The 15941-nt window shown below is 29.4% G+C and overlaps 1 long non-coding RNA gene across 6 annotated transcripts in view; it reads left to right on the forward strand.

The window, feature by feature from the left end:
- Window positions 1-15941, forward strand: part of LOC105379080 (uncharacterized) — a 166831-nt gene that overhangs the window by 13719 nt on the left and 137171 nt on the right. The gene's annotated exons all lie outside the window — the stretch shown is intronic.

Genomic DNA, 15941 nt, shown 5'->3' on the forward strand with positions numbered 1-15941 from the left:
CTATGACTGGGAGGTCAAGAACTTTCTGAAAGAAATTATGTTTGACCTGAGGTTTAAGAATGTCTCAGAGGCATTCTTCAAAATGACTAAACAAGATTTTGAAAATGCCATGCCAGAGAAGGAAAAATGTATAAAAACAGAAAATAAAGCCATAAAGACCAGGATGCATTGCATAATTTAAAAACCTGGTGATTAATTGCAGGAGCAGAGTTGTTCAAAATATTTGTAATGCTCAGACCTCAAATAATCTTTTGGTTCACGAGAATAGTTTTGGATCTTATCATGCAAGTCAGCAGTTTTCAACATGTGTTTCTCTGTAGCACATAGGACAGATGACAGCTACGTACATGACACACTACACAAGCAGAGCCAAAGAACAGTGTAATTCCTTGCACTCCATCTTTGCTGTCTTTTTCTTATATAAATTAAGAAATAATATAAAAATAAGCAATGAAAATGGGATTATTACAACTTTTATTTTCCCCAAATTGATTTAGTAAGTTATTCACAAAATTGTTGATACAATTATCTCACATCATTGTACTATTAACACAATAGTGGACCAAGCTGCTGTTAGTGTAGAAGGGAAGAGTCCACTAAATATTTTAGACAAAATTGTGCATGGTCACATTTTTTTAAGAAAAGGGGATACTGGTGGCAGAGATGGAGAATAGAGGGATTACAGTGAGGACCTTCATACAGTAATTCTCAACATAGATGGGACACAGTTTTCTGGGGTGACATGGCAGACTCCAGGAATTGGCTAGCTCAATCACCTTTTCTTTTTCTTTTTCTCCACTGTGGTGGGTGAAAAAATGATACTTAACTTGTCTCTCTTGCAAGGAGGATTGTGTATGTGGCTACTCAGGCTAATAAGATGTAAGCATTAGTCTGCCCAGAAGTTCTGGGAGAACTTTCCTGATTAAAGGGGCATACTGTTGGTACTTCTCCTTAATCCTTCTTTCTGTCTTGAATAAAGAGGTGATTCCTAGAATTGCACAGCCACTTTGTGTCCAGAATATCCAAGAAAATTATAGTCAGCTGACATATTTTAGTTGTCTACGGCAGCCCTACTCCAGAATTCTTGTTAAAAAACTAATTAAAAATAAACTGCCATTTATTTAAGCCATTGCATGTTGAATTTTTTTGTTCCTTGAAGATAATAGGGGATGTTTCTGGAGATCAAAGTGCTACTTTATTGAGAATTATTGTTTTAGTGATCCACTAGCATTTATGGCAGCATGTATATCTTTCAGTTGTAAAGAAATAGAGGAAAAAGGCTCAGAAATGATTTCTGTTATTTTGTTGCAAGATTATTGGAATAATTCAGGTAAAATTAAAGAAGGACCACTCTGGCAATAACAACAAGGGTGTAGAGAAGGGAATTGGAGAGAAGCAATTAATATTAGTAGAAATAAAAGCAATACGATATTTGGTATATAGAATTTAATATAGAAAATATAGAATTTAAGATATCTATAGACAATCAATAAATGATATTGAGAAATCTTTGGAGAATATGAGCCTGAAGCTCATGAGAGGTATTAAGCAGTTAAATGCTCATATAAAATTCATAACTTAGATCAGAAGAGTTAAGCTTATAGTCCATGGTCCAAAAAAACTTCTGAATGATGACACAGTTTAGTTTAGCAAATGGTTTTTTAATTGGCTAGGTTGACACTTATGGATGATCACCTGTCAAAAAATGTTTTGGAACTGCTCTCAATATGGAATGCATCAAACCCTTATAATAAAATAGAATTAATATCAATAATCCATTTGGGTAATAGAGATAGTTTTGTTCCCACCTGCACTGTATTGATTTGCTCTATGAAATGTGTAGCCTAGGTCCATACTTGAATTCATACAGATATTCAGCTATGCAGACGCTTTTTAATTTGACATAGTCAGACTTTTCTATTTTTGCTTTTATTTTCTACATTTTTAAGCATTATATCTAAGAAATCATTGGTAAGACCACTATTAAGGATCTTCTCCCCTGTGTTCTAGAAATTTTTCAATTTTTGGTGTTACATTTAAGTCTTTAATCCATCTTGAGTTTATTTTTGTGTATGGTATAAGATAAAGGTCCAATTTCATTCTTTTGCATGTGGAGATCCAGTTTTCCTAACACCATTTATTGAAGAGACTATCCTTTCCCAATTGTGTATTCTTGGCACCCTTGCCAAAGATCAGTTGACTGTGTACAAATGAATTTATTTCTGGACTCTCTATGCTATTCTATTGATATGTCTGTCTCTATGGCAGCATCATATAGTTTGACTACAGTAGATTTTTAATGTGTTTTGAAACCAGGAATTATAAAGCCTTTAACTTTGCTCTTTTTCTAGATTGTTTCTGCTATTCAGAGTCTGCTGGGATTCCATATGAGTTTTGTGATTGTTTTCTCTGTTTTTGTAAAAAACACCATTGAGACTTTGATAGGAAGTCTATTTAATTTGTAGATCACATTGGGTAGTATAGACATCTCAATAATGTCTTTAAATTAATAAACATACGATGATGTCCCTCCACTGCATGTATTGTCTTTCCAATATATATTGTCTTTAATTTTGTTCAACAATGTTTTGTAGTTTTCAGCATGCAGATCTTTTGCCTCTTGATTATTTCTAAACATTTTATTCTTTTGGATGCTATTGTAAATAAGATTTTCTTCTTGATTTCCTTCTTAAACTCATTTTTAGTGTATGAAAACACAATTTGTTTTTATATATTTATTTTGTATTCTGCAACGCTATTGAATTTGTTTGTTATTTCTAAGAGGCTTTTTGTTGTCGTTAAGTTTTTAGGAACTTTATACATAAAAGATCATGTCATCTGCAAACCAATAATTTTATTTCTTCTCTTACAATTTCTTTAACCATTGAGCATGATGGTAACTGAGGGATTTTCATATGTGGCCTTTATTATGTTGAGGTACTTTCCTTCTACTCTTAGTTCATTGAGCATTTTTATATTGAAAAGGTGCTGAAATTTGTCAAACTTTATTTTTGTGTCTAAGGAGATGATCATGTGATTTTTACCCTTTAGTCTGTTAATATGGTGTATCACATTAATTGATTTTGGTATCTTGAACTACCCTTGACCCCCAAGAATAAATCCGACCTGTCCATGGTGTATTATCCTTTTACGTACTGTTAGATTCAGTTTGCTATATTTTGTGAAAATTTTTAAAGTTGTATTCATTAGGAATATTGGCCTACAGTTTTCTTTTCTTGCAGTGTCTTTGTATGGCTTTGGTATCAGATGAAGCTGGCCTCATTAAATGAGTACAAAAGTGTCCTTTCCTCTTCAAATTTTGGACAAGTTTAGAAAAGTTTGGCGTTAGTTATTCTTTAAATGTTTGGTGGAAATCACCAATGAAGCCATCTGGTTCTGGAGGTTTCTTGGGAGGTTTTTGATTACTGATTCACTCTCTAGCAGTTTCATAATTCTTTTATTTTTTCCTCTGGTCATCATTTGAAATGTTTCCTCTTTCATTACTGATAATTTATTTATTTGAATAGTTTCTCTTTTTTTTAAGTTTAACCAAAGATTTATAAACTCTTAGTTTATTTTTTTCTATTGTTTTTCTAGTCTCTATTTTATTTCTGCTCTAACATTTATCATTTTCTTTCCTCTGCTATCTTTGGAATTAGTTTGTTCTTCTTTCTCTAATTCTTTGAGGTATAGAATTTGGTTGCTTCTTTAAGATCTTCCTATTATCTAAATGTAGGCATTTAATCATTGTGAACTTCTCCCTTGGTACTACTTTTACTGAATTGAATATGCTTGATATAATGTGTTTTCATTTCCATTTGTCTCAAGATGTTTTCTTACTTCCTCTTTTATTTTTTCTTTGACCCATTTGTTATTAAGAGTATGTTCAATTTCCACATATTTGTGAATTGTACATTTTCCATCTGCTATTGATTCCTAGTTGCATTCCATTATGTTTGGAAAAGATACCTGTTATAGTTTCAATCCCCTGGGTGGGTGTGGTGGCTCACACCTGTAACTGAAGCACTTTGGGAAGCTGAGGCGGGTGGATCGTTTGAGCCCAGGACTTTGAGACCATCCAGGGCAACGTGGAGATATCCTGTCTCTACATGAAATACACACATAAAAAATTCCCAGGCCATGGTGGTGCGCACCTGTAGTCCCAGCTACTCCAGAGGCTGAAGCAGGTGGATCAGTTGAGTATGGTAGGTCGAGGTTGCAGTGAGCCATGATAGTGCCCCTGTACTCCAGTCTGTATAATAGTATGAGATCCTGTTTCAAAACAGAAAAAGGATAAAATCTTTTTCAATTTGTTAAGACTTGTTGTGACCTAACATGTAATCTATTCTGCAGAATATTCTTTATGTACTTGAGAAGAACGTGTCATCCGTTGCTATTGGGTAGAATATTCTGTGTATGTCTGTTATGTCCGTTTTGTCTATAGCATTGTTCAAGTCTCCTGTTTCTTTCTTGATCTTCCATATTAATATTGTACATATTATTGAAAGTGGGGTATTGAAATCTCCTACTATTATGGTGTGGATTTCTATTTTTTCCTCCAGTTAGGTCAATGTTTGTTTTACATATTCAAGTGCTCTGATGCTGCATGCACATATATTTATAATTGTCATATTATCCTGGAGAATTGACTATGCTCTTATTATGTAGTGTCTTTTTTTGTCTCTTGTGCACATTTTTTACTTAAAGTCTCTTTTGTCTTATATAAATATGGCCACCTCTGCTTTCTTTTGGTAATCATTTGCATAGAATATCTCTCTTCCATTATTTCACTTTCAGCCTATGTGTGACTTTACAGCTAAAGTGAGTCTCTTTTAGACAGAATAGAGTTGGCTATCTTTAATAAAATAACCCACTCAGCCACTCTATGTTTCTTGGGTGCAAAGTTTAATCCATCTCTATTTTCCTCTATTGCTATCTTTTTTTGTATTTCATTGTGTCTTTTTTTGTATTTCATTGGGGTTTTTTTTTGGAGTGACATGCTTTGATATCTTTCTTATTTTTTGTGATTTTCTATAGACATTTATGAAATGGTTACGTGGAGTCACATAAAACAACTTATACTTATTATAATATATTTAATCTGATCAAAACTTAACTTCAACTGCATAGGAAACCTCTATACTTTCACCTCTTTTGTATCCACACTATGTATTACTGATGTCACAGTTACATCTTTTTATGTTGTGTATTCATTAATAATTTATATAGTTATAATGTTTAATACTTTTTTCTGTTAACTTTTATACCAGAATTTAAAGTGAATTATGCACCACTGTTTTAGTATTACATATCTCCTTATTTGTATGTATACGTGTGTGTGTATATATATATAATATGTATTATATATATAACAATATATGTTATATATAATATATAATATATATAATATATAATATATATAACATATATAACATATATAATATATATAATATATATAACATATATAACATATATAATATATATAATATATATAACATATATAACATATATAATATATATAATATATATAACATATATAACATATATTATATATTATATATATTATATATAATATATATAACATATATAACATATATATTATATATAACGTATATAACATATATAACATATATATTATATATAACGTATATATAATATATATAACATATATTATATATATAACGTATATATTATATATATAACGTATATATTATATATATAACGTATATATTATATATATAACGTATATATTATATATAACGTATATATTATATATAACGTATATATTATATATATAACGTATATATTATATATAACGTATATATTATATATAACGTATATATTATATATAACGTATATATTATATATGTAACGTATATACTATATATGTAATGTATATAATATGTATAACATATATATTATGTATAACATATGTATTATGTATAACATATATATTATGTATAACATATATATTATGTATAACATATATATTATGTATAACATATATAATATATATAACATATTATATGTATAACATATATAATATATATAACATATTATATGTATAACATATATAATATATATAACATATTATATGTATAACATATATAATATATATAACATATTATATGTATAACATATATAATATATATAACATATTATATGTATAACATATATAATATATATAACATATATTATATGTATAACATATATATAACATATATAATATGTATAACATCTATATTATATATAACATATATAATATGTATAACATATATAATATATAACATATATATTACGTATAACATATATAATATATAACATATATATTACGTATAACATATATATTACATATAACATATATATTAGGTATAACATATATATTACGTATAACATATATATTATATATAAAATATATATAGCATGTATAACATATATATTATATATAATATATATTATATATAACATATATGTTATATAAAATATATATTATATATAACATATATGTCATATATAAAATATATATAATATATAACATATATGTCATATATAAAATGTATATTTTATATATAACATATATGTCATATATAAAAATATATATTTTATATATAACATATGTCATATAATATATATATCATATATAACCTATATATGATATATAATATATATATCATATATAACCTATATATGATATATAATATATATATCATGTATAACATATATATGATATATAATATATATATCATGTATAACATATATATGATATATAATATATATATCATGTATAACATATATATGATATATAATATATATATCATGTATAACATATATATGATATATAATATATATATCATGTATAACATATATATGATATATAATATATATATCATGTATAACATATATATGATATATAATATATATATCATGTATAACATATATATGATATATAATATATATATCATGTATAACATATATTATATAATATATATATCATGTATAACATATATTATATAATATATATATTATGTATAACATATATATTATATAATATATGTTAAATATAACATATATATTATATATAATATATATATTAAATATAACATATATTATATAATATATATGTTATATATAACACATATATTATTTATAAAATACATATATTATATATAACATATATTATATAAAGTATATATTATATATAATATATAATAGATAAAATATATATTATATATAAAATATATTATATGCAAAATATATATTACATATAATATATATAAAATATATATATTATATATAAAATATATAGATAAAATATATATACTATGTATAAAATATATAATATATAAAATAAATATATTATATACATAAAATATATATTATATATATAATAAATATATATAATATATTTTATATATTATATAATATATATAATATATATAATATATTTTATATAAATATATATTATATATAAAAATACATATATAATATAAACTATACATTATATATATTTTACATATATTATATAATATATATTATATATATGAAATATATATATTATATATATAAAATATTTATATTATATATATTATATATTTTATATAATATATATGTATTTTATATATATTATATATTTTATATAATATATATGTATTTTATATATATTATATATATGAAATATATATATTATATATATAAAATATTTATATTATATATATTATATATTTTATATAATATATATGTATTTTATATATATTATATATATTATATATATATTATATAAAATATATAATATATAAAAATATATATTATATATAAAATATACATAATATATAAACATATATATTATATATAAAATATATATAATATATAAACATATATATTATATATAAAATATATATATAATATAAACATATATAATATATATAAAATATATATAATATATAAATATATATATTATATATAAAATATATATAATATATAAAAATATATATTATATATAAACATATATTATATATAATATATAAGATATATATAAACATATATATAATATATAAAATCTATATAAATATGTTATATATAATATCTATAATATATATAAATATATTATATATAATATATATAACATATAAACATATATTATATAATATATATAACATATAAACATATATTATATAATATATAACATATAAACATATATTATACAATATATATAACTTATAAACATATATTATATAATATATATAACATATAAACATATGTTTTATATTATATATAACGTATAAACATATATTATATATTATATATAAAGTATAAACATATATTATATATTATATATAATATATAAACATATATTACATATAAATATATATAAAATATATATTTGTATATATTAATAATTAATAATAATAATATATAATATAATATGTATATAATATATTATATATTATGTATTACATACATATATAATATATATAATATATTATGTACATAATATATTATACATAATTTTATGTATATGTATTATACATATACATATACATATACATATGTATTATACATAATATGTATAATATATATTATGTAATATATATGATGTATAATATATATTATGTAATATATATGATATATTATATATAATATATTATGTATTTAATATATATTATGTATAATATATATTATATATAATATATATTATGTATAATATATATTATATATAATATATATTATACATAATATATATTATATATAATATATATTATGCATAATATATATTATATATAATATATATTAGTGTAATATATATGTGTATTATATATTATGTATAATATATATTATGTATACAATATATATTAGGTATAATATATATTATTTATTATATAACATATATTATACATAGTGTATATTATATATAAAATATATAATATACATAATATATATCATATATTATATACATAATATATATTATATACATAATATATTATATTGTATATTATGTATATAATATATAATATATATTATGTATATAATATATAATATACATAATATATACAATATATAATATACATAATATATACAAAGATATATATATATCTTTGTCCGTGGGCTTTATATTATTGTGTGCTTTTGTTTTTATGTTTTTGTTTTGTTTTTATGTTTATGTTTTTGTTTTATGTTTACTGTCTTTTTGTTTCAACTTGAAAGACTCCCTTTGACATTTCTTATAATGTAGATCTAGTGGTAGACTCCCTTAGCTTATGTTTATAAGAAATAGTTTTTCTCACTACTATTTTCCAAGGTAAGTTTTGATGAGTGTAGTATTCTTAGTTGGCAGGCTTATTTTTTACTTTTAACACCTCAAAAAGATAATCACAATCCTTATAAGATGTCTGCTGAGAAATTTATTTGTATTCTTACAAAAGCTCTCTTGTATGTGATTAGTTGCTTTTATCTTACTGCTCCTGAAATTCTGTTTGTCTTTGAGTTTTGACAAGTTGATTATTATCTATCTTGGTGAGATCTTCTTTAGACTTATTTTACTTGGGAAATTTGGAGTTCTTGAATCTAGATGTACATTTCCTGCAACACAGTAAGGAAGGTTTTGCCATTATTTCTTTTTGTTATTGTCATTTTAACTTTTACTTTAGGTTTTGGTGTACATGTGAAGGTTTGTTACACAGGTAAAGTCATGTCATGGGGATTTGTTGTACAGATTTTCTTTTTTATCACCAAGTTATTAAGCCGAGCATCAGTAGTTATCTTTTCTGCTCTTCTCGCTCCTCCCACCCTCCACCCTCAAGTAGATCCCAGTGTCTGTTGTTTTCTTCTTTGTGTTCATAAGTTTTCATTGTTTAGCTTCCACTTATAAGGGAGTACATGCAGTATTTGGTTTTCCGTTCCTGTGTTATTTTGCTAAGGATAAGAGCCTTTAGCTCCATCCATGTTCTTGCAAAATACATGATCTCCTTCTTTATTATGGCTGCATAGTATTTCATAGTGTATATGTACCACATTTTCTTAATCGAATCTACCATTGATGGACATTTAGGATGATTCTATGTCTTTGATATTGTGTTAGTACAGTAATGAACATTCTTGTGCATGTGTCTTTGTGGTAGAATGATTTATATTTCTCTGGGTACATACCCAGTAATGGGATTGCTGGGTTGAATGGTAGTTCTGCTTTTAGCTCTTTAAGGAATCACTATACTGCTTTCCACAATGGTTGAAGTAATTTACACTCCAACCAACAGTGTGTTAGTCTTCCCTTTTCTCTGTAATTTTTGTAGCATCTGTTACTTTTTGACTTTTTAATAATAGCTATTCTGACTGGTGTGAGCTGGTATCTCAATATGGTTTTGATTTGCATTTCCCTAATGATTAGTGATATTGAGCTTCTTTCATATGCTTGTTGCCTGCATGTATGTCTTCTTTTGAGAAGTGTCTGTTCATGTCCTTTGCCCATGTTTTAATGGGATTGTTTTTCTCCTGTAAATTTGTTTAAGTTCTTTACAGATGCTGGATATTAAACCTTTCTCAGATGCACAGTTTGCAAATATTTTCTCCCATTCTGTAGGTTGTTTATTTACTCCATTGATAGTTTCTTTTGCTATGCAGAATCTCGTAAGTTTAATGAGATCCCACTTGTCAATTTTTGCTTTTGTTGCGATTGGTGTGTTTGTCATGAAATCTTTGTCCCTTCTTGTGTCCAAGATAGTATTCCCTAGGTTTTCTTCCAGAGTTTTTATAGTTTTCGGTTTTACATTTAAGTTTTAATCCATATTGAGTTGATTTTTGCATATGGAGTAAAGAAGGGGTCCAGCTTCAGTCTTCTACATATAGCTAGCCAGTTATCCCAGCACCATTTATTGAACAGAACGTCTTTTCCCCATTGATTATTTTTGTCAGCTTGTCAAAAAAAATCAGGGATTGTAGGTATGTGGTCTTATTTCTGGGCTCTCTATTCTCTTCCATTTGTCTGTGTGTCTGGTTTTATACCAGTTCTATGCCGTTTTGCTTACTGTGCCCCTGTAGTACAGTTTTAAGTCAGGTAACATGACGTCTCCAGCTTTGCTCTTTTTGCTTAGAATTGCTTTTGCTATTCAGGCACTTTTTTGGTTCCATATGAATTTTAAAATAGCTTTTTTCTTGTTCTGTGAAAAATGTCATTGGTAGTATAATATAGTAGTGTAGTTTTAAGTCAGGTAGCATGACGCCTCCAGCTTTGTTCTTTTTGCTTACAGTTGCTTTGGCTATTTGGGCACTTTTATGGTTCCATATGAATTTTAAATTAGCTTTTTACTTGTTCTGTGAAAAATGTCATTGGTAGTTTCATAGGAATAGTATTGAATATGTAAATTATTTTGAGCAGTATGGCCATTTTAATGATATTGATTCTTCCTATCCATGAGCACGGAATGTTTTTCCACTTGTGTCATCTCTGACTTCTTTGAGCAGTGTTTTATAATTCTCATTGTAGAGATCTTTCACCTCCCTGGTTAGCTGTATTTCTAGGTATTTTGTTCATTTTGTGGCAATTATAAATGGGATTGCCTTTCTGATTTGGCTTTTGCCTGGGCTGTTATTGTTGTATAAAAATGCTCGTGAGTTTTGTACGTTGATTTTGTATCCTGAAACTTAGCTGAAGTTGTTTATCAGATCAAGGAGCTTTTGGGCAGAGACTATGGGATTTTCGAGATAAAGAATCATATTGTCTGCAAATAGAGATAGTTGACTTCCTCTCTTCCTATTTGGATGCCCTTTATTTCTTTCTATTGCCTGATTGCTCTGGCTAGGACTTCCACTACTGTGTTGAATAGGAGTGGTGAGAGAGGACATCCTTACCTTGTTCAGGTCTTCAAGGGGAATGCTTTCAGCTTTTGCCCAATCAGTATGATGTTGGTTGCGGGTTTGAAACAGATGACTTTTATTACTTGAGTTATGTTTCTTCAATACCTAGTTTATTGAGAGGTTTTAACTTGAAGGGGTGTTGAAATGCATCAAAAGTCTTTTCTGGATTGATTGAGATATGGTGGTGTTTGCGTTTAGTTTTGTTTATGTGATTAATAACACTTGTTGAATTGCATGTTGAACCAATCTTGCAGCCCAAGGATGAAGCCTGCTTGATCATGGTGGATTAAGTTTTTGGTTTGCTGCTGGATTCAGTTTGCTAGTATTTTGTTGAGGATTTTTGTATCAAAGTACACTAAGGATATTGACCTGAAGTGTTCTTTTTTGTTGTGTCTCATAGGTTTTGGTATCAGGATGATGCTGGCCTCATAGAATGAGTTGGGAAAAAGTTACTACTCCTTATTTTTGTGGAATAGTTTTTGTAGGAAAAGTACCAGCTGCTCGTTGTACATAATTGGTAGAATTCAGCTGTGAATCCATCAGGTCCTGGGATTTTTTTTTCCCTGTTGGTAGGCTATTTATTACTGATTCAATTTCAGAGCTCCTTATTGGTCTGTTCAGGAAATCAATTTTTTCCTGGTTCTGTCTTGGGAGGGTGTACATGTCTAGGAATTTATCCATCTCTTCTAGATTGATATGGTTTGGCTGTGTCCCCACCCAAATCTCATCTTGAATTCCCACATGTTGTAGGAGGGACCCAGTGGTAGGTAACTGAATCATGGGGGCAGGTCTTTCCTGTGCTGTTCTCATGATAGTGAATAAGTCTCACAAGATCTGATGGCCTTATAAGATGGAGTTTCTCTGCACAAGCTCTCTCTTTGCCTGCTGCCATCCACGTAAGATGTAACTTGCTCCTCCTTGCCTTCCACCATGATTGTGAGGCCTCCGCAGCCATGTAGAACAGTAAGTCCATTAAACCCGTTGCTTTTGTAAATTGTCCAGGCTTGGGTGTGTCTTTATCAGCAGCATGAAAATAACTACAGTAAATTGGTACCAAGAGAGTGGGGCACCGCTGAAAACATACCCAAAAATGTGGAAGTGACTTTGGAACTGAATAACAGGAACAGGTTGGAACAGTTTAGAGGGCCTATAAGAAGATAGGAAAATGGGGGAAAGTTTGGAACTCCCTAGAGACTTCCTGAATGGCTTTGACCAAAATGCTGATAATGATGTGGACAATGAAATCCAGGCTGAGGTAGTCTCAGATGAAGATGAGGAACTTGTTGGGAACTGGAGCAAAAGTGATTCATGTTATGTTTTAGCAAAGGGAATGCAGCATTTTGCCCTTGCCCTAGAGATCTGTGGAACTTCAAACTTGAGAGAGATGATTTAGGGTATCTGGCAGGAGAAATTTCTGAGCAGCAGTGCATTCAAGAGGTGACTTGGGTGCTGTTAAAGCTATTTAGTTTTATAACGGAAAGAGAGCATAAAAGTTTGGAAAATGTGCAGCCTGACAATGTAATAGGAAAGAAAATCCCATTTTCTGAGAAGAAAGTCAAGCCAAATGCAGAAATTTGCATAAGAAACAAGGAAACAAATGTTAATCACCAAGATAATGGGGAAAATGTCTCCAGGAATTTTCAGAGATTTTCACAGCAGCCCCTCCATCACAGGCACAGAAGCATAGGAGGAAAAGGTGGTTTTTTGGGCTAGGCCCAGGGTCCCCATGCTGTCTGCAGCCTCTTGACTTGGTGCCCTGCATCCCAGCTGCTCCAGCCATGGCTGAAAGGGGCCAACATAGAATTTGGGCTGTGGCTAAGGAGGGTGAAAGCCTGAAGCCTTGGCAGCTTCCACATGACGCTGAGCCTGCCAGTGCACAGAAGTCAAGAATTGGGGTTTGGGAAATTCTGCCTAGATTTCAGAGGATATATGGAATTGCCTGGATGTCTAGGCAGAAGTTTGCTGCAGGGGTGGGGCTCAAATGGAGAACCTCTGCTAGGGCAGTGCAGAAGGGAAATGTGGGGTCAGATATCCCACACAGAGTCTGTACTGGGGTACCACCGTGTGGAGCTGTGAGAAGAGGGCCACCATCCTCCAGACCTCAGAATGGTAAATCCATTGACAGCTTGCACCATGCGCCTGGAAAAGCTGCAGACATTCAATGCCAGCCTGTGAAAGCAGTCAGGAGGGAGGCTGTCCCATGCAAAGCCCCAAGGGTGTAGCTGCCCAAGACCATGGGAACCCACCTCTTGCATCAGCATGACCTAGATGTTAGACCTGGAGTCAAAGGAAATCATTTTGGAGCTTTAAGATTTGACTGCCCCACTGGATTTTGGACTTGCATGGGGACTATAGCCCCTTTGTTTTGGCCAATTTCTTCCATTTGGAATGGCTGTATTTACCCAGTGCCTGGACCCCTACTATATCTAGGAAGCAATGAACCTGCTTTTGATTTTACAGGCTCATAGGTGGAAGGAACTTGCCTTGTCTAGGATGAGACTTTGGACTGTGGACTTTTGAGTTAATGCTGAAATGAGTTAAGACTTTGGGGGAATTGTTGGGAAGGCATGATTGGTTTTGAAATATGAGGACATGAGATTTGGGAGAGGCCAGGCATGAAATGATATGGTTTGGCTCTGTTCTTACCCAAATCCCATCTTGAATTCCCATGTGTTGTGGGAGGGACCTGGTGGGAGGTAATGGAATCATGGGGGCAGGTCTTTCCCGTGCTGTTTTCATGATAGTGAATTAGTCTCATGAGATCTGATGGCCTTATAAGGCGGAGTTTCTCTGTACAAGCTTTTCTTGCCTGCCGCCATCCAAGTAAGGTGTAACTTGCTCCTTCTTGCCTTTCATCATAGTTTTGAGGCCTCCCCAGCCATGTGGAACTGTAAGTCCATTAAACCTCTTTCTTTCATAAATTGCCCTGTTTTGGGTATGTCCTTATCAACAGTGTGAAAATGGACTAAAACATAGGTTTTCTAGTTTGTGTGCATAGAGGTGTTCAGAGTAGTTTCTGATGGTTATTTTTATTTTTGTGGGGTCAGTGGTAACATTCCCTTCATCATTTCTAATCACGTTTATTTGGATTTTCTCTCTTTTCTTCTTTATTACTGTAGCTCTTTGCCTATCTGTCTGATTCATTAATCTTTTGAATGGTTCTTTATGTCTCAATTTCCTTTGGCTCAGCTCTGATTTTGGTTATTTCTTGTCTTCTGCTAGCTTTGGGGTTGATTTGTTCTTGTTTCTCAAATTCTTTCAGTTATGATGTTAGGTTGTTAATTTGAGATCTTTCTAACTTTTTGATGTGGGCATTGAGTGCTGTGAATTTCCCTCTTAACACTGCCTTAGCAGTGTCCCAGAGATTCTTTTTTCTCATTAGTTTCAAAGAAATTTTTGATTTCTATGTTAATTTCTTATTTACCCCCAAATAATTCAGAAGCATGTTGTTTAATTTTTATTTAATTGCATGGTTTTGAGCAATGCTCTTGGTCTTGACTTCTATTTTTATTTCACTGTGGTCTGAAAGTATGCTTGGTATGATTTCAGTTCTTTCGCATTTGTTGAGGATTGTTTTATGTCCAATTATGTGGTCAGTTTTAGAGTATGGACTTTGAACTCCATACTTTAGTCATACCTATTAATGTTTGCATATTGGGAAATGCAGCTCTAGGCTGTTCACCACTTTGAAATACTATTCCGATAAGAGGAGGCACAATGCAATTATTTAGATTTTCTCATAATAAATTACCATTATATTGCAGACCTGTATGGGAGATTACATGTAGATGTCCTTAATTGAAGTTTTGGCTGTTTGCTAACTCACTTATGACCTCACTTCACCAGTTTCCGAAGTGTTGGGGGAGAGGAGAAGGAGGCTAACTCACCTTCCTGCAAGGTACTTTGTTATCTATGTAAAGGGAGCACAAAGACATTTCACATAAATGATGTTTTTGGCTTCCAATTTTTTTAAGTTATATAGTAGCAGCTTCACTTAATGAATGACCTGGCTGTGTCCATAAGATATTAAGTCATTAAAATATGCTAATAGGAGGAGGATGGAAGATACAAATCTACTTTATTTGATTTCCCTA

This window comes from Homo sapiens, chromosome 5 (genome assembly GCF_000001405.40).
Source record: "Homo sapiens chromosome 5, GRCh38.p14 Primary Assembly".
Lineage (NCBI taxonomy): Eukaryota > Metazoa > Chordata > Mammalia > Primates > Hominidae > Homo > Homo sapiens.